Source organism: Homo sapiens, chromosome 10 (genome assembly GCF_000001405.40).
Source record: "Homo sapiens chromosome 10, GRCh38.p14 Primary Assembly".
Lineage (NCBI taxonomy): Eukaryota > Metazoa > Chordata > Mammalia > Primates > Hominidae > Homo > Homo sapiens.
In genome coordinates, this window is record NC_000010.11 from 5,385,688 (window position 1) to 5,410,389 (window position 24,702).

General features: G+C 40.3%; 1 protein-coding gene across 2 annotated transcripts; it reads right to left on the bottom strand.

Moving 5' to 3' along the window:
* Window positions 7,414–19,141, bottom strand: TUBAL3 (tubulin alpha like 3). Of its 2 annotated transcripts, none has more exons than NM_001171864.2 (4): window positions 19,103–19,141; window positions 15,157–15,280; window positions 9,640–9,788; window positions 7,414–8,774 (listed from the first exon to the last, which is right to left on the bottom strand). In NM_001171864.2, exons 1-4 carry the CDS (start codon window positions 19,103–19,105, stop codon window positions 7,830–7,832), a joined length of 1,221 nt encoding a protein of 406 aa, NP_001165335.1. In that variant the 5' UTR covers window positions 19,106–19,141; the 3' UTR covers window positions 7,414–7,829. The 2 variants fall into 2 exon arrangements, with proteins under 2 accessions (NP_001165335.1, NP_079079.1); NM_024803.3 differs by having other exon boundaries at window positions 15,157–15,400.

Here is a 24,702-nt window from a genome sequence, read left to right on the forward strand (position 1 = left end):
TCAAGGAAACAGATAATTAATGTTTACTAAATAGAGGCAGACTTAGGAGTGTCCTGATATCCCGATATCTTGAGAACAGAAGCATTCCTAATTTTCCTTTAATGATAATAATATCAATTTTTGCAAAATATAGTAATTAGAAAATTAATCCTTTATCACAAATCCTTGTAGCAGAGCATATCTCCCATGATGATTTAATATTATATATAAACAAGTATTATACCTAGGGTAGACAGGTTCCTCCTCTTACTTTCGGGACCATCCTCCTCTGTCTATGGAGTAGCCGCTCTTTCACCACTTTACTTTCTTAATAAACTTGCTTTTGCTTTGCCCTGTGGACTTACCCTGAATTGTTTTTTATGCGAGATCCAAGAACCTTCTCTTGAGGTCTGGATCAGGACCCCTTTCCGGTAACAGTTGAGTCTTCATCCTGAAGGCTCCCGTATATACACATTAAACAAATTTGTTTGCATTTTCTCCTGTTAATCAATCTGCCTCATGCCAGTGATTTTCCAGCAAACCTTGAGGGGACCAATGGCCGTGGCCCCCACACATCACATGATCATGGAGGAAAAAGGATATGCTGGGAAACGGGGGCAAGTCTGGTTGGAATGGAACGCACACAATGACAGTGAAGAATGGAAGAGAAGTTTGAGTCAGAGCTTGCTGGGACAGTCTCTGCGTGCCACACACAGGAGTTTGGGCCTTAGGTTCAGGCGATGGGGAATCATTAAAGCTTTGAGCGAAGGAGCAGGGTAATCCAAGCTGTGCTTCAGAAGGTTCAGTCGGAGAGTAGTGGGTCGGTTGGGTCAGGAAGACAAAACGAAAAGCAGAAGAGCATTTAGACCCCAGTGCACTGGTGAAGGGGAGAATAGTTGAAGAGAAAGAAGGGAATGTGTTCTGGACACATTACCAAAGTAGAATTGATGGAATTCATTCTTCTATTAAAATAAAAACTTTAAACAAATCATATTTAACAGAGTTCAATTGAGCTAAGAACAATTCAAGAATCAGGCAGCCCTGGAACCAGAATAGGTTCAGAATGACTCCAGAGCAGCCACATGGTTGGATTTAATGCACAGAAAAAGGACAGTGACATATGGAAAATGGAAGTGAGGTACAGCTGGATGGATTACACCTCGGCCTCTGCCTTCTTTGAACACAGTTTGAACAGTTGGCTACATGCAGTTGGCTGAAACTATAAGAGTAAGTGACAGGCCAGGCATGGTGGCTCACACCTGTAATCCCAGCACTTTGGGAGGCCAAGGCAAGTGCATCACCTGAGGTCAGGAGTTCGAGACCAGCCTGGCCAACATGGCAAAACCCCATCTCTACTAAAAATGACACAAATTAGCCAGCCATGGCACGCACCTGTAATCCCAGCTACTGGGGAGGCTGAGGCAGGAGAATTGATTGAACCCAGGAGGTGGAGGTTGCAGAGAGCCAAGAGAGCGCCACTGCACTCCAGCCTGGGCAACAAGAGTGAAACTCTGTCTCAAAATAATAATAATAATAATAATAATAAAGAGAGAGAGAAGGTGACAGACTGTTGACACATCCCGTTAGGTCACAGTTCACAATTGTGAAAAGAAAATAAAAACATAGGACCCCAATTCACTCTGCCATAGGAAAAAAGTTAAGCTGAAAGCTGAGTCATACAACAAGCTGCCTTTCCTTTTGTTCTTACTCAGACAGCTACAGACAAAAGGTTAAATATCTCCTTCACTGGTAGCTACTCTAGGGTTACCTTATCTTATATAAGGTGGCAATTTACTGAGCACAAGACGAAAATATCAGTGACTATTCGCCCACGTGCTCCCTTTCTCCTGAACATGTGGATCCGGTAATGGGACCATACCCTCTCTCTTTCATCTCCAGCCCACCCTTCCCTTTTAAGTATTGAAACCCTCGGACAGGTGTGGTGGCTCATACCTGTAATCCCAGCACTTTGGGAGGCCAAGGCAGGCGGATCACCTGAGGTTGGGAGTTCGAGACCAGCCTGACCAACATGAAGAAAGGCCGTCTCTACTAAAAATACAATTAGCCAGGCATGGTGGTATGCGCCTGTAATCCCAGCTACTCGGGAGGCTGAGGCAGGAGAATCACTTGAACCCAGGAGGCAGAGGTTGCAGTGAGCCGAGTTCACACCACTGCACTCCAGCCTGGGCAACAAGAGTGAAACTCTGTCTCAAAAAAAGAAACCCTCAAAGTCATCTTTGCAGAAAGGCACAGACTGCAGACTGTTTCTGTGATTCCATGTTTATTTCTTTCAAGCATGTCCTTTACCCTGGCAAAATGAACTTCTAAATTGATTGAGACCTGTCTCAGATACTTTTTTCATTTACACCATGTACAGAGAAACATTTAGACCCAACTTACAATACGTAGGGAGGCTGAACGTAATCTAATACTACATAGAGAGCAAGCAATGGGCTGGGGCACAGTCAAAAATGATGATGTTGCCTAGGACCTGCTTAAGTGGGAAAGCGATGCCATAACCACTGAAGGAAGAACAGATTTCATTTGAAAAAACAGTTTTTCCAGGGGGAAGTTAAATTTAAGTGTAGCTAAAACATCTGTGAGGATAGGTCCAACAAGTGGGCGGAAATTTTAGTATAAGACTCAAGAAAGAAAGAAAACTTAGACAGTTGTAACAGTTACCGCATAGTGATACTGTGGTTGTGAGTAACATAAATAAGGGCAGGGGAGAGAACCAAGTGTGTCTCCATTAGAGGAAGACAAGGAGGCAGTTTAGAAGGTCGGATGCAGTGGCTGATGTCTGTAATCCCAGCATTTGGGAGGCTGAGGAGGGAGAATCACTTGAGCCCAGGAGTTCGAGATCAGCCTGGGCAACATGGCAAAACCCTGTCTCTACAAAAAATACAAAAAAAAAAAAAAAACTAGCTAGGTGTGGTGGGGTACACCTGTGATCCCAGCCACACAGGAGGCTGAGGCAGGAGGACCACTTGAGCCCAGAAGGTTGAGGCTGCAGTGATCCATGAACACGCCACTGCACTCCAGCCTGGGCAATGGAGTGAGACCCCATGTCAAATAATAATAATACATTTTTTTTAAAAAATGAGACAGTATAGAAGGAGAGTCTGGGAAGATCTCAGACATAGGAAAAGCACCAAGTAGTGTCACAGAGTCAAAGGAAAGGTTTCATGAGAATCAGCAAATGATTAAGGTCAAGCAACCTGAAGGCTGAGAAAGTCATTGCTTTGATGAATAAGGCATTATGGGTGATCTTCAAGACAACAGCATCAGTAGAGTGGTGGAAAGACACCAAATTACAAAGGCTGGGAGCAAACAGAGGATGCACTGGAGGCGTCACACGCATATCCTTTTTAAAAGTTTCGTAGAGTGGAGAGATGTGATAGCACATTGCAGGGATAGCAGAATCCAGAATAAAGGTGGTTTTCTGAATGGGGAGACTGAACCTATAAGTAGGGGACAGAAAATAAATCAATGGAGAAAGGGAGATGGAATGTACAAGAGAGATCAAAGGAGCAAGGCCTCCTAGAAGGCAGGAGTCAGGAGAGAAGGTGCATGGATAACCAATGGTCTTGGAAAGAATATTTTTCCTCAGGGACTGTAGAGGATATGTGAAGATTCAAAATAATTTTAAGGAGGAGATTGAAGAGGAATATTAGAAGTTAAAATCAGATAGATGTGATTACAGTAGGGTAGGAAATAAGGTACTTTCCAATTTAGTAAATATTGGAGTGCCTGCAATATGCCTGACACTACAAATACACAGATGAATACGGTATCTCCTACCTCAAGATCACGTTTAATTAGTGTTTATAGTCCTCAAAGTTATCTCAACCATTATTCCAATGACCTCCTCCTCACTCCTTGAGGGAGAAAGGCAAATATTATTCCTTCTTAACCCCAATGTTAAATATTCAGCCAAAGTACATTAAGTGAGTTTGCCAAAGTCTCAACAGACAGTGTTGATAATGAATATTGGGCTAGAACATAGTGTCATTTCCTGTATTTAACTGCTGATATAAAATATGGCTTCTGCCATATCTTACTTCACAAATCCTTGAGTCTTTTCAAATGTCCTTGGTCCACCTCTCATAAATGCAAAATTTAAGAAGTACAGAACCATAAAAAATAAGACAATAAGAGGGATAATATATACCCTAATATGCTTCCTAGATCCTTCAGGAATATCAATATATCTTCAACAGACATTACTATCTACTATATGCATGGCACTGTGTCAGATGCCAAAACTACAAACATTAAGAATAATGCTCTGCTCTCTTGAAAGAGTGTCATAGAAGAAATAAGAAAAGAATGAAAATAAAAACAATATAGAGAATTTGTAATGCCCAAAGATAAATAGAACTAAGGCCCTGAAAGTTACATAGAATTTATAAAACAATATTTAATTCATTGCTTTAATGCATCCTATGGACTTATAACATTAAGCAGGTTATTTCATGTCCCTGGGCTTCTGTCTTGCCAAGCACAAACATTCTTATCAACTCTTCATAGTTTTTACAACTATCATTGGAATAAATTGTCAAAAGTATAGCTACTTTAAACTCTACTAAAAAATGGACTTTTGCCTGTATGCAAAATATTCAGTAATAGAATTATTCATAAATTACATGGATCTGTATCTGTTCAATTGGATTTTCAATGAAAAAGAAAGATCTAACAACTACCAACAAACATAACTGAAATGTCTTTGGGGTTTAATAGAACAGATCAAATTATTTCCACATAGTATTTTCCAAAGCTTATGTAAGGTAGAAAATATATAGTTGGAAGTAGAGAGGTAGAAAAAAGATAAAACATATTTTTTTAAAAAAGTGCATGCAACATTTGGGACAATGTAAAGGAATTATATGTGTAGTCTAAGTCACATAAGGAAAGGAAAGAAAACTCAAATGATATTTGAAGAACTATTGGCCAAGCATCTTCCAAAACTGATAGGAGACATCAAGCCACAGATTCTAATAGCTCTAAAAAGTTCAAGTAGGATGAACATAATAAAAACACACCCAAGCACATCACTGTTAAATCACCAAAGGAAAAACAAAACAAAACAAAACAAAAAACACTACTTTCCAGGATACAATAAGATCAACAGCTGACTTTTCAATAGAAATAATGAAAGCCAGAAAACTATGGAATGGCGTATTTCAAAATGCTGAAACAAAGTAACTGTCAACCTAGAATTCTATACCCAGAGAAAATATCATTTAAAGATGAAGGTAACCTAGACATGTTTAGAGAAAAATAAAAATAGAGAGGATTGTCTGCTGGCAGATCTACATTAAAAGATTGCTAAAATGAGTTATTTTGTCAAAAGGGAAATAATCCCAGATGGAAGCATAGTAATGCAAGAAGGAATGAAGAGTGCCAGAGAACTAAACTAGGAGGCTAAATCTAAGCCAACATCCATTATTTAAAACAATGATAATAATAGTATAGATTCTTTCCATTGAACAAGGTTTTGAAACTGTGCTCCAAAGAGTTGAAGAAACCAATGACTAACAGAAATTATTGAGTTTTCAGGATGGCAGATAAGAAAAGAAAGAACTTGATAAAATGCTGAAACTACCTCTGCTTATAAGATATTTTTTTAACTAGCTGAAATTGGTTTGAACCAATATGGCCAACCAGAGTCTGTGCAGAATGAGCTTGCTGATGTAGCAGCCGCAACTTCTACCATGTTTCATACTAACGTCTCCTCATTTTGTACATGCGTCCCATGAGGAAGCATGAGGAAATAACCCATGAGGAAGCATGAAGACCTTCCAGACCTTTCCTTTACTTCCACCAATCACCTACTAATCCCAGAACCTAGCCACTAAAGCTTTTCTAATAAAAATACTGTCTTAGACCCAGCACAGGGAGACAGATTTGAGCTGAATTTCTATCTTCTTGTTGGTCAATTCACAATAAAAGCCTTTCTTTTCTCAAAAACGCAATGTGACACTGTTGGCTTCTAGCACATTAGGCAGCAAGCCCTTTTGCTCAGTAACAGTTTTCTTCCACACTTCAATAAAGAGCCAATTCTAGATATTGTTGGTCTATGTTGGATATAGTGAAGACACACTAAAGTTCACCAAATCATTCCTTTTGTTTGGACAAAATAATTTTTTTAACTTACTTTCCTCCAAATGTTTGATCCCATCAAGTCAGAGACATGAGAATGACAGTCATGTTCCTTTCCCTGTTACTATACCAGGAATCCTGGCACATCTCAATTAACAGGCTCCAAACACAACCCTGCTATGAGGTTGTTTTCATGTGAACAGAAGTTGAGCCCTTGGCAGAGAAGCTTGGAAGTGGAGTCCAAAGGGGACACAGCCAGATACTTAGAGACTTGGCGACTGAGCAAAAACTCAGCGATAGTTGTCTGTGCTGGGAAAAAAAAAAAATCCTTACTGGCATTGAAGAGTAGCTAAATATCATTTCCACCAAACAGTGGTCATTGGCTTCCGTGGTGAGAATGGTTTCAACTGAAAGCAGGCAAAATGGTACATTGTTTGAGTACCACTCTTAAAGGCCACATCTCAGGGGAGTGATTTTAGTATGTAAAAGAATCTCCCAAGAAACTGTTAGAAATGGAGGGTTATACTTTCCACTCAATGTTGCTGAGAACCTATAAATACTCAAAAAATAGATCTTACCAAAAAAAAAAAACAATACAGAGCATTCATTTTTGAGTCCAGTTGCACAAGCAAGAAGGTAGTAGCCTTGTAGTTTGAGGAATCTCAAAACAGATACACAACTTCATGCCTCCAGCCAAGGCTTTAGTGCCTCCTATCTTCCGATGTCTACCTGAGCCAAAAGCATGTACCCGGTTGAGGCCAAGAGTATAGCTGAAGGGTGAGGGCTGACAGGTTAAACAGTGCAGGTGGATGAGGCTCCTGAGGATTATCTACCATCAGTCCAAGAGCAACACCTCAGCCCAACTCAGTACCTTTGCAGCATCTAAGTTGCCTTAATTCCAAGTATTAGTGAGACAAAATATTGTGGTTATTTAAAATCTCACTAGTGGTTTTAATGCATTTATAGCTTTGTCCAGAGTAAATTATTTTCTCAAATGGAACTATTCGGTGGCAAAAATTAATTCCATTTAGTGTTTTTGTATATCTCAACTCCTTAGGACACAGGCCCTCCAGCCCCCAGGATTCTAGCTTAGCAAGTCAATAGAGAAGCTCAACGATCTGCATTTTTACTAAACTTCTGAAGTGACTCTGGCACAGAGTTAAGCGGGCGACACTTTGAGAACACCACCTCCAGGAAAGGGAAGTGGAAGAGACGGCTCTCACCTCTGACGTGCAGGACACCCAAATTCAAGTTTTAGAAAGACCCAAATTTGTTTACATAAAAAGCAAACTGAGCCCTTTGGGCACACATTTCAAAGAAGAATAAGAATCATACTGAAAATATTTATGATTTAATCAGTGTAAAAAATGTAGACATGGGGGAAAAAACATTCGTAATCAACATGTGCTGTTTTCTACTTCCGGTACCAGAAAGGAAAAGCATAAACTTCAGGATTTCATTGTCTCTTGGTAAAACAAAAAAATCCCACCTAGAAGTGACTCAGCAGTTCAAAGGACTCTAAGCTTCCAAAGGCTCCCAGGTAGCAGAGCTGACTTGTACCAGTAGACCAGGAAATAATGTGTTCATTGTTGGTACTGACCCACTTAATTTAGTGTGGAACCTAGAGTCTTGCCTGATTTGAGTTCATTTTTCTGCTCATCAGGGGAACTACCCACTAGGCATATAACGGCTTGAAAAGAAAACATGCCATTTTAACTTGACATTCATTTGCACCCATCATACATGCCTCAGAAACTTTGCGCCACTTCCTCATAGTCCCTCTCCAGGGCTGCCAGATCTTCCCTGGCCTCCAAGAACTCTGCTTCTTCCATGCCTTCTCTGAGGTACCAGTGCAGAAATGCTCTCTTGGCGTACATGAGGTCAAACTTGTGGTCCAGGCGGGCCCAGGCCTCCACAATCGCCGTGGTGTTGCTCAGCATGCAGATGGACCGGTGGACTTTGGCCAGGTCCCCACCCGGCATCACCGTGGGCGGCCGATTGTTGATGCCCACCTTGAAACCAGTTGGACACCAATCTACAAACTGAACAGAGTGCCTCGACTTCGTGGCTGCGATTGCTGCATTCACTTCCTTGGGGACCACATCCCCTCTATAGAGTAGGCAGCAGGCCATGTACTTCCCAAGCCGAGGATCACACTTGACCAGCTGGTTGGAGGACTCAAAGCAGGCAGTGGTGATGTCTGACACAGAGAACTGCTCATGGTAGGCTTTGTCAGCAGAGACGATGGGGGCGAAGGCTGTCATGGGGAAATGTATTCTCGGATAAGGTACCAGGTTGGTCTGGAATTCAATTAGGTCTACATTCAAGGGCCCTTCAAACCGGAGGGAGGCAGTGATGGAAGATACCACCTGAACCACCAATCTATTGATGCTGGCATGAGAGGGGCATTCAACACCGAGTTTACGATGGCATATATCATAGACGGCCTCGTTGTCCACCATGAAGGTACAGTCCGTGTGCTCTGTGGTGGAGTGGGTGGTGAGGACAGAGTTATAAGGCTCTACCACAGCAGTGGAGATCCTGGGGGCTGGGTAGACCGAGAACTCCAGCTTAGTCTTTCTGCTATATTCTCCTGTGAGCCTCTCCATTAAGAGAGACGTAAACCCTGAACCAGTGCCTCCTCCAAAGCTTCGGAAAATCAAAAATCCCTGAAGTCCACCACACTGTTCTGCCTGGAGAAAGTAAATGAGATGTGAGAATTCAGCTGAATAAATCCAGAAGCAGTGAATTGGACAGTAGTGGCAGGATACAACAGGTTTCCCCAAAACAAAATCTTTCAGAAAGGACTCCTTTGCCTTTGTTAACTCCACAACAAACATAGCTACTTTGAAATACTCTCAAGGGGACTTCTGGAGTAGGCAAAGCACTTCAGAGCTTTACTATAAGCAGAGCATAAATATCCACCTGTCTTTCACTGACCTCTGTGCATTTATCGGTATGTGATCGCAAACAAGGCCTTCATCAATAACAAAGAAAATGACAAAACACTGAAGCAAAATAACATTCCCCCCACGTCTATGCTCCATCTGGCATGCTGGTGTAAAAGGTGTTGTAGTAGCTAACAAATATGACAAACACCAAAACTCTTACTTAGCAAAGGGTCTCCAGACTCAGGCCCCTAAAGAGGAATTAATTATCAGTAAATAGAGTCACGCATCTCCAGATAGGGAGTGCCTCTTGCTAACTTCATAAACATCAGTTACTCTTGGAAAATGACAGGTTACTCTTGGAAAGTGACAGGTTTTAGAGTGCTATGGGAGTCTCTCGTAACAAGATGAACCCTGTGTTAGGAGAACCAGGGATGATCAGGTGATCAGGGGACCCCCCAGTAAGTATAAAAGTTTCTGTCTCCTTCCTAGTAACAAGGGGAAATCAAAGCCAAGATGAGAACCCCTCCCCAGTTCTGAGCACCCAGACCAGAGCCCAGGGAGAGACGGTTGGTGGCGATGGTGACAGCAGATAATGCTTGTGAGTTCTGCCGCAGGACCCCACATGCCCCAGGCACAGCCCACTCGGAGGAGAGGGGGAGCCACTTGCCAGCTTCCGGGTCCTCTCCAGCACAAGGTCGATGACCTCCGACCCCACAGAGTAACGGCCTCGCGCGTAATTGTTAGCAGCATCCTCCTTTCCGCTAAGGAGCTGCTCGGGGTGGAAGAGTGAACGGTGCTGGCCCGTCCGGATCCCATCTGCAGAGGGTGAAAGGAGGTCAGTGCAACTCACCCAGTGCAATTCAGCCGTCCACCTGCTGCTAGTCCTCCTGGAGCCTCCCCGTACTTGACTCCCATGCTTTCTCTCAATATTGTGGTCCAGGAATGGAATTTAGATAGTGCTGAATTAGCCCGTCTTAGTCCAGGAGAAGTGGAATTTTTTACATATACATGGAAAGTATGTTTTTCTACCATGCACCCCTTATTAGTTTCCTAGTGCTGCCATAACCAATGACAACAAACATCATGGCTTAAAACAATAGGAATTTATTTCCTAACAGCTCCAGAGGCTGGAAGTCTAACATCAAGGCGTTGGTAGGCTTGGTTCCTGCTGGAGGCCCCAGGGAGCGTCTGGTCCAAACATCTCTCCTGGCACCGGGTGACTTACAATTCTTAGCTCTCCTTGGCTTCTAGCTACCCCCTTCCAATCTCTACCTCTGGCATACAAGCCTTTTCCCCTGTATGTGTGTCTGTGCTCTCTCCTCTGATAAGGACACAATTCTTTAGCATTAGGGCCCACCCTAATCCAGGAGGACCTCATTTTAACTAGCTACATCAGCAAAGACCCTGTTTCCAAATAAAGTCACATTCTGGGATTGCAGATGGGTATGAATTTGGGGGGACACACTTCAACCCACTGCCCACCCTAGGACACATTGGCATTTTGAGACAAGTATTTTTATCTACAAATTGCGAACTGTGTGCTGGAAAGGCACACAGAAAGGCATATCCAGGGCACAGTGGCTCACACCTGTAATCCCAGCACTTTGGGAGGCTGAGGCAGGTGGATCACTTGAGGTCAGGAGCTTGAGACCAGCCTGGCCAACATGGTGAAACCCTGTCTCTACTAAAAGTACAGAAAATTAGCCAGGCATGGTGGTGGGTGCCTGTAATCCCAGCTACTCGGGAGACTGAGGCAGGAGAATCACTTCAACCCAGGAGGTTGCAGTGAGTGGAGATCACGCCATCGCACTCCAGCCTGGGCAACAAGAGTGAAATTCTGTCTCAAAAAAAAGTAAAATAAAATAAAATGAATTTTAAAAAATAAAGGAATATCCATCTTTTAAATCTGCTTTAAAAGAGGATTTAACAGGGAAGGCACGGCAAACTCAAATGCCCACACGACCCAAATGCTGAGTGCATAAATGCATGACGCAGGACAATTGGCGTTAAGATGTTGGCAGTATCCAATACAACTGAGGGTAGCCCCTGCCAGGTCTCATTGCCTTTTAAAAACCTGGGCAGCATGCCCTACTCCTCCACCTTAGAATTACTCAAATAGCATTATTCCTGATGATTAAACAGCAGTGTTTCAGGGCTAAGTAGGCTTTGGGACGGCTGCCCTGGTTACTGTGGGATACTGCATTGCTTAGTAGTTAAATGCATGTTTCAAGAATCAGTTTCCTGGGTTCCTATCTTGCCTTCCTCACTAAGCTAGAGAGAAGTTACTTAGTCAATGATTTTAGCTCATAAATAAGGATTATAACAAGATCTACCCCATTGAGCTGTTACGAGAACATAGGGCACAACGCACGGCCCATATAACAACAGCAATTATAAGTAACAATGATAGAACTGGCTTCATGACATGCATTTATGCAGATTTACCTCATTATACACCACCAGCCTTGGCAGCAGATAGCTGAGCCAGTCCTAGAAGCTCACAGCCTAAGGAGAAATGCATTGTGTTTCTGTTTAATAAGAGCACGATTGTTTTTCAATTCACCGTGCCTTCCGTGCGTGACCATGAATTTCTAAACTCCAATTTTGCAACCTCTCAAATAATATTTATTGAAATTGAGTTTAAATAACTTTTAACTAGCTTACACACAAACCTCCCCCAGAGCTAGGATGTTTAAAAGATATATTTATAAACAAGATATAAGTGAAAGTGTAATTCTGGGTGGACTATTTCCTTCTTATCTGAAGCTATAAGGCTGCATTCAGGCTAAGAAGGTAATTTACGGAAGCTTCCTTCTTCATGACAATGTTGAGTCGGGATCTTGAGGGTCAATAGGTTCATAATTTATTTCCATAAAATCCATTATCTCAGGGCATAGTGGTTGCAGCACCTGCCGTTCATAAGTAATCCATGCCATCCACTCTAACTTCCCGGGCACAGGTTGCTCAGGGGCTTTACTACCCAGCATGGTGCCCTTAATCAATATCCTCAGAGACATCAATGGCTTTTGAACAATTACATGATGGCTCCTTAGCTTCCTTAACTACGGTGTCAGTCAGCTGCATTCCACTTCAATCATCATCACTCAGAACTCTCCCACTTCCAAAATCTTAAACATGCAAATTCCTTTTTCTGACCACAACTTCCTCACTTTGCCCTAACTTCACCCTTGAGCCTGCCCCAGACCATCTTCCCAGACTCATCCCCTGCTTTGAGCTCCTGCTCACACCTATGCCTGGCCAAGCTGAACTCCTGGTTACACTTGCGGGGCATTCCTTCATGACTCTGAATTTGCAAATGCTGTCACCTCATGAGAAGGTGTGTGAGGCTGGGTGTGGTGGCTCATGCCTGGAATCCCAGCACTTTGGGAGGCCAAGGTGAGAGGATTGTTTGAGGTCAGGAGTTTGAAACTAGCCTGGGCAATATAGTGAGACCCTATCTCTATAAAAAACAAAAAATTGGCCGGGTGCAGTGGCTCTTGCCTATAATCCCAGTAGTTTGGGAGGCCGAGGCAGGTGGATTACTGGAGGTCAGGAGTTCAAGACCAGCCTGGCCAACGTGGTGAAACCCTGTCTCTACTAAAAATACAAAATTAGCAGGGCATGGTGACATGTGCCTGTAATCCCAGCTACCCAGGAGGCTGAGGCAGGGGAATTGCTTGAACCCGGGAGGCACAGGTTGCAGTGAGCAGCGATAGTGCCATTGAACTCCAGCCTGGGCAAAAAGAGCAAAACTCTGTCTCAAAAAAAAAAAAAAAAAAAAAAAAAAAACTTATCCACATGTAGTGACATGTGCCTGTAGTCCAAGCTACTCAGGACCCCAAAGTGGGAAGACTGCTTGAGCCCAGGAGTTCACTGAGCTATGATTACGCCACTGCACTCCAGCCTGGGTGACAGAACAAGACCCAGTCTCTCTCGCTCTAAAAAACAAACAAACAAACAAACATATTGGATGACTCCCCGGTTATTCATTCCTTCTGCCTTGCAGAGCAAGCTTGTCCATCCCGCAGCCCAGGATGGCTTTGAATGCATTCCCACGCAAATTGGTAAACGTTCTTAAAACATTATGAGATCGTTTTGCAATATTTTTTTTTGGTTCATCAGCTGTTGTTAGTGTGAGTATATTTTATGTGTGGCCCAAGATAATTCTTCTTCTTCCAATGTGTCCCAGGGAGGTCAAATTATTGGACACACTTGTTGTAGAAATGTCTATTAAGTTGTATCATATACAATACAATTAACTTTTTTAGATTAAAAAATAGTCATATACTGGCAATTTTATATGGCTCAATTTCAACAGTGTTGTTATAACTATTTATTTTTTCTTATTCACTAGATTAGGCTACTTTCCTGTTAAAAGACAATAGATTTAATAAGAAGGCAAACCTAGGACCAAACCCAGCTCTACTCTAATAACTCAGTGATCTTAAGCAAGTTCCTTGACTTCCCCAAGATTTATAAAGTTCCTCATCTATAAATTGAGGATGATAATAATGTCTCCTGACAGAGTGTTGAAAGAATTAGAGGAAAATACCTGTGCAGTTCCCCAACTAGTAAACAATAGCTGCTGTGGACTAAATGGCTGTGTCCCCCCACAATTCATGCGTTGAATCCCTAATCCCTGATGTGATGGTATCTGGAGGTGAGTCTTTGTGAGTAATTAGGTCATAAGGGTAGAGACTTCATTATGGGATTAGGGCCCTTATAAGAAGAGACACAGACTATTTCTCTGCCATATGAGAATACAGTGAGAAGGCAGCCATCTGCAAGCTGGGAAGAGAGCCTTCACCAGAAGCCAACCACCAGGCACCCTGGTCTCAGACTTCCAGCCTCCAGAATCGTGAGAAATCAACAACTGTTGTCTAAGCCACCGGGTCCATGGTGTTCCAATACAGCAGTCCGAGTTGACCAAGACAGGCATCTTCACGTCGAAGGCAAAAATCAACATTTATTCATCTTTGTACTTCTATCACCCAGCTGAAGTGTTTATGGGGTTGTATTCAATTCCTTCTTATCATGACCTTGAATTCGTCAGCCTCTCCTTTTCTCCACCCCTCCCACTCTCTCAGTCAACAGCCAGCACCAAGGGGCAGCGATGTAAATGAGTGACTTTCAAAGTGGATGCCCCAGTTCCCACTTGAGCCTTCCAAGCTGGTACCACATGGAGCACAGGCGAGCTGTCACCTCTGAGCCCCACCCAAACTGTAGATTCATGAACAAACCAGCAATCATTATTGCCTTAAACCACTAAATGTAGGGGAAGTTTATTACACGCCAACAAATAATGGGATGCACAACATCAAACCCAAATCTACCCCACTGTCTAGCTTTTCTCTTAAGTCAGTAAGAGCCCCTTCTCTCTCCTTTATTTTTCTAGCTCCATTTCAAGAGTTTTTGCATGACATACTACAAGTCTATTGTTAGTAATCATAAAATTGTACTGTTTTTCCCATAACTAGGGTATATATTTGGCCTCTTTTTCCTTTAGGATTCTTTTCAAATATTCTACTCTTTTTAAGCAGCTATCGAAAAACTTTTTGATTCTTTGCCAGTGCCTTCTAGCAAATGGCTCTCAAACCCAGGAAAAGACTTAGTGTTCTATTATGATATATGTGTGGATCAATTAGCAGGTCTTAATTCATTTCATCACACAGGTAAAGAAGGCTAACCTAGGCCAAGTGTGGTGGCTCACGCCTGTAATCCCAGCACTTTGGGAGACTAAGGCAGGTGGGTCACTTGAGGTCGGGAGTTCAAGACCAGTCTGGCCAACATAGTGAAACTCCATCTCTACTAAAAATACAAAAATTAACCAGGCATGATGGTGTGTGCCTGTAATCCCAGCTACTCAGAGGCTGAGGCAGGAGAATTGCTTGAACCCAGGAGACGGAGGTTGCAGTGAGCCCAGATCACGCTACTGCACTCCTGCCTGAGTGACTCATCTCAAAATAAATAAATAAATAAATTTAAATTCAAAAACACTAATCTGGTCTTCCCTTTGGGTGTGTTTGTCATGTTAATCACCCATGGCCACTGAGTAAGCCTCTACATTTGGGAAAGGTCCATGTGATTCCATTCAGATAGACCTGTATAATCTGCTAATCCCATCCACTTGATTTGTTTGAGTGTGGCTCCAGTTAAGTATGCTAGAATGGAACATTTATTGTACCTATAACAGTTGGCTCCAAGTCCACGAAGAGTGCTCTAGGCACATGCTTCCCAGCTCTTGTCTCACAGAAGAAGGTATCGAAAGATGCATTTGTGTGCTCCATTTTTGCATTTTCCAGCTGATCCTGTTGAGTGTCAAGAACAACGCCATTTGGCTGGATTCCATGTTCCAGGCAATAGAGTTCCCAGCAGGCGTCCCCAATCTGGATGCCAGCTTGACCGATGTGGATGGAAAGGCACTCCCTCTAAAATAAGTCATGGTGAGTTGGAACTGAGCAGGTGTTTAGAAAACAGGAGATCTGTTACTCAGCCCTTCTGGTTACAAATGACAGAAACCAAGCTAGCTTAAGGCCACGGAGGAATGTGTTATAAGGATAATCAAAAGCGTTTCATGGAAACCAAGACCCAGGGTACAGCTAAGCTTCAGGGAAAATTAAACCTGGGATTTAAATTCCATTAAAAAGTTTATTTTAACAACATAAATTAAGCACCTACTCTGTACTTGGCTAAGAATTGAATTAAGACAAACACACACAATGCAAATCAAAATACAACTAATTTTACTTTATTCTTTCAATATAGGTGAGATGTGTGTGTGTGTGTGTGTGTGTGCGTGTAGTTATATATATCAAGTGGGCTTGTCTAGAAATAAAATTAGCTAGTTATTGGAAAGAAATAAAACTAAAATCAATATATAGCCTTGTCAAGTACTAAAACTCATCGCAGATAAATTTAAAATGTTATCTTTACCATTCATATGCACTCTGAATAAGGATGGATATACTAAACTTAAAACTAGTGGGAAATTTTACAAGGCAAAATGCAATAGATTTAACAGTTCCAAAATGTAAAAGTTTTATAACAAACATATAGAGATAAAAATTGATTTTATATACATCAACTTTCTAAAAAAAAACACTTAAGACATCCACTAGCTAGGCAAATGATATAAACAAACAAATTACAAAAGAAAGACTCTAAAATGCAAGGATGTAGGCTGATGGCATTCACAAGCATCACAATTCATAAGCATGAAAACCAAAAACCAATCTATTTAATCTAACCATTTATATATTGTTGAGCATTTAAAGGATGTTACATCAACACAATGACATGTTATGCAACCCTTAAACGTTTTCCCAAAAAAAAAAGATTTATGACATGGGAAATGCTTATGATAACATATTAAGTAAAAAGCACATAAGATGCATGATTGCATATAGAGTATGATGTCCAATATGTTCAAAAATAGGCATAAAAATCTAAAAGAAAATGCATCAAGATATTAAGTTTAGTAATATCTGGGTAGTGATTTTATTTTCTTGTCTAAACTTTACTATTTCTTCCACCTTCATATTCCCCCATCCCACTTTAAATCATCTTTTTTTTAAGGCAAACAACTATTCTGTTAAACAGACAATGATCTACGTTTTTAAGAGAAGGAAAGAAAAAAAATGAGAAGGAAAGTAAAAGCTAAATTCTAAGAAATCTGAGGTGATAGCAATCGCTGTTCTTAATATTGGTGTGGTTTGATTGACTGTGGTGCTGAAACAAATCTATTTAGAGGGTCTTGTAGAATGAGACCCCCATGTCTTCTGCATCATCAGGACCCTTTGGGCTGTTTGACCAGATAAGCTGAGGGGAGCCCTGCCCTTGTTCATGGCTACACTGCCCTAAAGCCTGAGATTCAACTACTGAAAGACCTCAGGCCTCCTGTCAATCCCTCACCTGTGGTCTACACAGGGGTCCCCAACCCCCGGGCCACAGACCAGTACCAGTCTGTGCCCTGTTAGGAACTGGGCTTTACAGAAGGAGGTGAGCAGCAGGTGAGTGAGCATTACTGACTGAGCTCTGCCTCCTGTCGGATCAGCGGCAGCATTAGATTCTCATAGGGGCACTAACCCTATTGTGAACTGCGCATGCAAGGGATCTAGGTTGTGTGCTCCTTATGAGAATCTAACTAATGCCTGACGATCTGAGGTGGAACAGTTTCATCCAGAAACCATCCCCACTGCCGACTCCATGGAAAAATTGTGTCCCACAAAACTGGTTCCTGGTGCCAAAAAGTTGAGGACCACTGGTCTACACAGACCACTAGTCAGAGGAAAGTAAGGAGAGGGCTCTGGTCGGCCACACCCCTGCAATCTGACTTGGACTCTGTTCATGCTCAATGGCATCAAACCTTTGTACTTTGTCTCTGTGATTCACAAGGCATAACAGCCCTCTGCTTCATGACCAATTCAAGTTCACTACCTTAGTAGGGCTTCCATCTTGTTTATTTTCTGTGCAACTATCAGTCTCTCTAATTTAGAAAGCACTTCATTTAGGACAAACTAATATTCCACCTCTCAAGACAGCATATTCTGTTATAAACAGGCTTCGAATACCCCTTATCAGGCTTCAGATAACCTTAATCTTATTCCTCTCCCCTTCTGTCGGACTTAAAGTGCTGCAAATACATCAGCTGCTGTAATCTGATCAAAACTTGGCTCCTTAAATTTAAGTTAACATTTTAAAAGGAGAGGGTGAACGTTCATTGTTTCTACATCATTAAAACCTCTTACTTTGTAAAGTTTACATGTAGATTTCTCTGTCTTCTCCACTGGCTACCACCCAGTCCTGTGTTACAGTGACGAGTAAAATTCAGGTGTACATGTGGTATTTGTTCATAATAGTCACAGTAAAAATAATCACTAACATTAAAAAAAAAAAAGATTGTTCCTCTTCACGTGGTCTGTTCAAGTGACTCAGAAAGCAGAGTGATGCTGTTCTTTTTGAAATCAGCACGAATAGCCTGGACTAACAAGCATCCTTCGTCTTTGAAGGAGCTTAGCTTATAACATAACTCTGTCCAAGGGTGTAGAAGACTATCTTTGCCTTATTCTTCTCTTAGCCTCTCCCTTTTTTTCCAAATTCTCTATGAAAATATTAGTCACACTATAAAGTAGAAGACTATAAAATGTCCACTGAACGTCAACACTGATAAGTCATAGCACATTATTAAACGCTGCTATAAGGATTATTTGAATTACTAGAAAAGCATAACTCTCAGTTAAACTTTCAATTTTGAGGTCTTTGTAGATTGATATGCAGCTGTGAGAAATAACATAGGAAGATCCCTTGCATCCGTTACCCATTTCCCGCAGTGGAAACATCTTGCAAGACCATAATACAAAATCACACCCAGAATGTTGACAGTGATAAGATACAGAACATGCTATTATCACAAGTCTCTCTCATGTTGAAAGGCATAATTTTTAAAAGCAAAACAATTTAAAATTTTTTAAATGTTGGACAGAGAGACCAATGGGGTGAGAAATCAAAGATCAAGAAGCAGTTCGAAATGTTGCTTCCATTGAAGAATTAAAAATTCAAAGATACTGAAAAACTGGCACAGAAAAAAATAAAGGGCAAATGGATCTGAAAAGGTCATCCCAAAACAGAATTATTGTAAGTTATTCTATTCATTGTGGTGCCCAAAGAACTAAACTCAAGGGAGGGCAAAGAAGATGTCTGCGCACTTTACCCTGCCAGGCATTTATGAGGTTAGCCACGGTTACCTAAGTCTGAAGTCCTCAGAAACTCTTAACAGCCTAACGAAAAGTGAAGCAATGAATATCTACAGAAAAATCAGCACTCTGGGCCTAAAACAAAGGTGAAAACTAAAGGAAGGAAAGGTTTTTGCTTCAGTGCTTCAATTAATGGCAGTGAGCTACTGCAAATCAACTGAGCTTTACCTTGAAAGAAGCAACATTACAGAGGAATAGATTACAGCCTGTCCACATCTGCTCCCAACTCATCTACTTGGACATTGAAAGAAACAAATGTTTCTTTACAAATGTCTTCTCTTGCATTACAATTTTATTAAGAATTGTTTGCTGTGGGAAAAGGGCCAAATATGATTAGTAAAATTTCCTACAACAATGCATAGGCGTGTAGTCACTTACCATGCTGATGAGAACGTGCCCTTCCTGCCCTGTAGTAATGACTGAGGAGCCTCCCAGCTGAGCTTTATCACAGGGCCCGGAAATGACTCCACCTGAGGGCTGGAGCTTTCTTCACTTAAAGCAGTATAGCTTCTTTTTAGTTTTTTTAGTTATCTGGTCTCAGAGTAGCTGTGTTGGGCCTGAACAACCCGGGATAAAGTTTGTACACAGCTGCAGATGAACTACTGAGAGCTTATCCAAATCTGCGTCCAACTTATAACTATGTTGAAAAGAACATGTGTCTTTTAAAAATCACCCTTTTGGGTTAAGAATTTATTTAGCATTGGCAGAGAAAAGGAAGGAGTATGAGTAAAATTTTCTGCAACAGCAAAGTAGCTTTTTCTATTGCATGAGTACTATGTGAATATCTTCTTAAATAAATTTAAACAATCCCTGAATACATACAGCAAACCAAGACAGTGTCCTTTTTACATCTGTGTCCTATGCATGCCTCTCAACCACTACCACATCCAAACATATGGGAATTTTCTGTTTTTATTATTATTGTCTTTTGAACTTTTATATTATTATACATAATATATACTTATGTTATTATTTTTTATTAATTGCACTAAGATCAGATCACACATCTTAACTGAGTTCTCTCCTTATATATTTGCTAAAGCTTCCTTTATATTCTACTATATGGTCAATTTTTGAAAATATTCCATGAGTGTTGAAAAGAATGTGCATTCTACATTTGTTGGATGCAATATTTTAGATAGACCGATCATTCAATCAATCAATCTATTAAATCAAATGGATTTATTGTGTAGTCCAAATTTTACGTATCAATTATTTCAAAAGATGTATTAAAAGTTTTCATTATAATTGTGAATTTACCCATTATTTCTTTTTCTGTCAATTTTTCCTTTATACATTTTGAGGCCATGTTATGAAGAGCACATAAATTTTAAATTATTATATTTTCAAAAACTTTAACAATTTTTTATTTTTAAATTACCCTCCTTATATACATTAATTATTTTTACCTTAAAGTTTTTTTTTTTTTTTTTTTGAGATGCAGTCTTGCTCTGTCGTCCAGGTTGGAGTGCAATGGTGCGATCTCAACTCACTGCAACCTCCACCTCCCAGGTTCAAGCGATTCTTCTGCCTCAGCCTCTCAAGTAGCTGGGATTACAGGTGTGTGCCACTATTCCTAGCTAATTTTTTTGTATTTTTGATAGAGACAGGGTTTCACCATGTTGGCCAGGCTGGTCTTGATCTCCTGACCTCGTGATCTGCCCGCCTTGGCCTACCTTAAAGTTTTTATGATCAAATATTAATATTACTACTTTAATACAGTTTTTTGGTTCACATTTGAATGATGTATTTTCCCATCGTTTTACATTCTTAGAAACTTAAAACCTTTCCATATTCTCATATTTTGGATGTGTTCTTTGTATGCATGATATAACTGAATTTTTTTTCTATTTTTGTATTTGAATTGGAGAATTCAGCTCATTACATTTAATATAATAACTAATATAGTTGGGTTTAGATATAGAGTACTATTTTATTTTGTGCTTTCTGTTTGTCTCCATTTTCTAAGTTCTCTTTTCTTCCTGATCTTCTTTTGAATTAATGACATGTTTTGTTAGCATAGTAACAATTTTATTATTCAGTAATCAAAACAAAATTTCTGTTACTCAAGAATCTTGGTTTCTACCAATTCTTCCTTACAACTTTGAGAAAATGAAGAAACCATAGTGTTCTTCAGCAATTTTCTCCTGAACTTATTATAAATTATACTTTCTCTCATTTTGATCTTCATAAAGTCAATCCTATCTGTCTCTGTCAATAACTCCCCAAATGTTTAGCATCCTGGTAGTTCCATATAATGAAAAGAAAAATTAAGCCAGTTCCATTTTATAAAATCAGAATGATATTTATTTTGTTGCTGTATCAAATTTTCTCCCACTGGTCCCAGATATTTTCAGTTTGAAACAAGATGAGGGAAAAATCAGATAATGTGAGTATCTCATTTCTAGTCCACTGATGTACTCAGTATCTTTCATTAACTTTTAAAAATTGTCAGTCTGACATGGAGCTATGATTAACTTAGATTTACGTAGGAATTAGAAAGAAACTAGAAAAATCTCTTTTGTAGTATAATTTAAGAAATGCATCTTATCTTTTAGTAATTCCTTATTTCTTTGAAAGACTAAGTCTTAAAGAAAAAAGTTTCCTCAAGTGATAATAATTGGAATTTCACGTCTGAAGAGGCCTTCTGGGGTGATAGTTTTTGTGTCAACTTGGCTAGGCTGTGGCACCCAGTTATCCAATCTAACACTAGTCTGGGTATTGCTGTGCAGGCATTGTGGAGGTGTGGTGAACATCTCCAGTAAACTTTGACTTTAAGTAAAGGACATCATCCTCAATAATGTGAGTGGGCCTCATCCAATCAGTTGAAAGACCATAAGAGTAAAATGGAGATTTCTCTGAGGAAGAAATTTCTCCTAAGGATGGCACCTTTAGTTTCAGCTTTAGCTGTTACTCAGGAGTTTCCAGCCTGCCAGTCTGCCAGCCTGCCCTACTGATTCCAGACTTTACAGCCCCACAATCACACTAACTTATTCCTTAAAATAAATCACACACACAATACTGACTCTGACATACTTGGTGGCCACCCTTAGGTTCTGAGGGTGAAAAAATGGCAGAGTGATAAAAGTGTGGTATTTATAGTTACGATGTCCTTGTTCAAAGTTCCTTTCTTGGCCAGGCACAGTGGCTCATGCCTGTAATCGCAGCACTTTGGGAGGCCAAGGTGGGCAGATCACCTGAGGTCAGGAGTTCAAGACCAGCCTGGCCAATGTGGTGAAACCCCATCTCTACTAAAAATACAAAAAATTAGCCGGGTGTGGTGGCAGGCACCTGTAATACCAGCTACTCTGGAGGCTGAAGCAGGAGAATCACTTGAACCCTGGAGGCGGAGGTTACAGTGAACCAAGGTCACGCCATTGCACTCCAGCCTGGGCAACAAGAGCAAAACTCCATCTCAAAAAAAAAAAAAAGTTCCTTTCTTAAGTATTTTTCATTGTGAGCCAGTCAATTCACTGGCCAAGTAATGAGACAAACAAAACCTTCTAAGCATGAAAATTTGTTACAAAAAAAAAAAATTATTCAACTCTGAGCAATAATTCTGATTGACATTCTGACATTTCTGAAGTTCTCTTTGGTAATTCTCTGTTGGCAGCCTCACAACCACAGCCAGATCACTGTCCTTTGCCATTCTCTCTGGCCCCTACCATTGCACTGAAACCCCTTTCTCCTTCCTCCTCTGTTCTCCTCTCCTACTACTAATATAAATCAGTCTTTTAGACCTGCAATGTCTTTAGGAAGATAGTCTAAGCGTTAAGAAAAATGAATTACAGTCTACTTTGGATTAATAGCACCTTCTCTGGCCACACATATTTCATCTCAAATTTTATTGTTCTCTAAGCTCAACAGCTAGATTTTGGAGTTTTCCATTTTCCTCATTGGAATACCTAAGAGTAAACCAATATGGTAAACAAATGATTCATAGATGATTGATTGATTGATTGACTGATTGAGGCAAAAAATGAAACAACCTCCCCCCACATCACACATACACACACAGTGATAGATTTTAAGGGATGACAAACCTGATTTCAAATATTCTGCCCTATTGTGCCTATAAGTACACTTCTGCTTGTCAGAATGACAATCAATGCAGTCCACATACTTAGCTGTTGGACTACACTCCCTTTCATTTGGCAGGAACAATTAAGTTTGACCCAATTAAAAATTACAGTCTAATAAACAGTTTTGTAAATTAATCAATAGTAGATATAGTAAATATATTTTTAAAAATTTCAGACTTTATTATAACATTCTATATATAAATTATATGTATATGCACACATACAGACATTCATTCTCCTGAATGTAATTGCTGTTAGTTCATGAGAAGCTATGAGAAGATTCAGACAAAAAAGAAAAACGTTGATGCAAAGGGCAATTCTCTAGTTATTAAGACTACTAGTTTTCTAATGGTAGGTCATTGTTTGCAAATTTGCTACATTTTTCTATGGGAGCCTACAGACCAAAGGGGAATCATTTAGCTAGTGATAGCAATGGCAAACAAAATATCACATCAAAATCATCAAATAATTTGGAAATTAATAAAGTGTTTTGATGAACACTTTGTACTCTAATATATACATATATATATATATATATATATAAAACTTGGTAAGCAGTTTTGCAAAAATAGTTTGATTTACTTAGATAATGAAAGAAAATAGGTTTTTAAATTATTGATTTACATAATAATTTACATTCATTTATTGATTGTTGAATTTATTTAATATCAACTTGCAAAATGATTGGTGTCATCACATAGGGCTGAAGGTTTTGGAAATAATCTTTGAGGAAGTTCCCCAAAAGAATATTTGTTTTGCAAATCCATGGTTGAAAAAGTTTGGGTTACACTTTGCTCTAGTCAAGTTAGTAGGAATATCTTCTCAGAGAGGGAGTTCTAGAGTCTGATTTTATATATATGAAAGCTGAAATCAAAACAATTTCCTCAAACCCTATCCCGGTGAATATTTTAAGGGAGAAGGATGATTTGTGGGGAACTGAAAGAGAGAGGATTCAGAGAACATTTGTCATGGTTTTGGGACTGTTCTATACAGTGTAAGACATAGAACATGGGGACAATGGCATTCAGACACCAGAAAGTTGATCTCTTGTAAGATCAAGAGATGTCACCAGCCTTTCCCAGGTCTTCAATGACCAACCCTCAGAGCGGTCACTTTTCTTTGCTCTTCTTCTATGGTACCCAGCCATTTTCTGATGAAAATTTGTCTTCTATTCCTTATTTCCCTAATGTCTAGCACAGATCCTGGCATATTATAGCAGGAATTTAATAAATTCTTGTGAATAATTGAACAAAATCATAAGTTCTCAAGTGAATGAAAATTGGAAACAGTTGCTCTGCATAAAACAATAGTATTCAGGTCACTGGAAAGAAGTGCCCACCCCCACCACTGGAATCCCCACATTGACATCCTGCAGTATCTATCATTTTGTGAGTAGTTATTACAAGTTACCAAAGGACTGACCACCTCTGATGACACAATCAAAACCAGTTTCAGGACCTGCAAAGCTGAGGACAGACCCTGAATTCTGAGGATCTCACCGAAGTATGTTGAAACTATTAATATGAAACGGCTGTTTCTGTGGGTAAAAAGACCAAGCGTCAGCGATTCACATGGTCCTATCTTGTGAACAAAAGTTCTCTGAAAAGGAAGTTTGGAGAAAGGAGACTTTATTCTAGTGAACAGTTTGCAAACCAGGGAGACACAGCCTTCGGAGTAAAAGAAAGGTGATTCCAGAGAATAAAGGGGAGGGTTTGGCTTCTATAGAAAAAGTTCTTGTCCAGGTTTCCAATCAGATGTGTTTATGCAAAGGAAAGATTCAGACTTGCTCAGTTCAGATTGGGTAATACAGCTGAACCCTGATTGGATAAAGCAGATGAGTTCTGATCGGTTACATCAGGTGAGCCCTGATTGGTCAATTCGGGTAAATTGTGAAAA

What these genes read in the sequence shown, in the direction of transcription:
- TUBAL3 (NM_024803.3), bottom strand. An exon ending in CTTGGAGCCAACTGTTATAG is followed by an intron (nt 9,789 to 15,156) that starts GTACAATAAATG and finishes CACCCTCTGCAG; the next exon opens with ATGGGATCCGGACGGGCCAG. An exon ending in TGGAGAGGACCCGGAAGCTG is followed by an intron (nt 8,775 to 9,639) that starts GCAAGTGGCTCC and finishes TACTTTCTCCAG; the next exon opens with GCAGAACAGTGTGGTGGACT.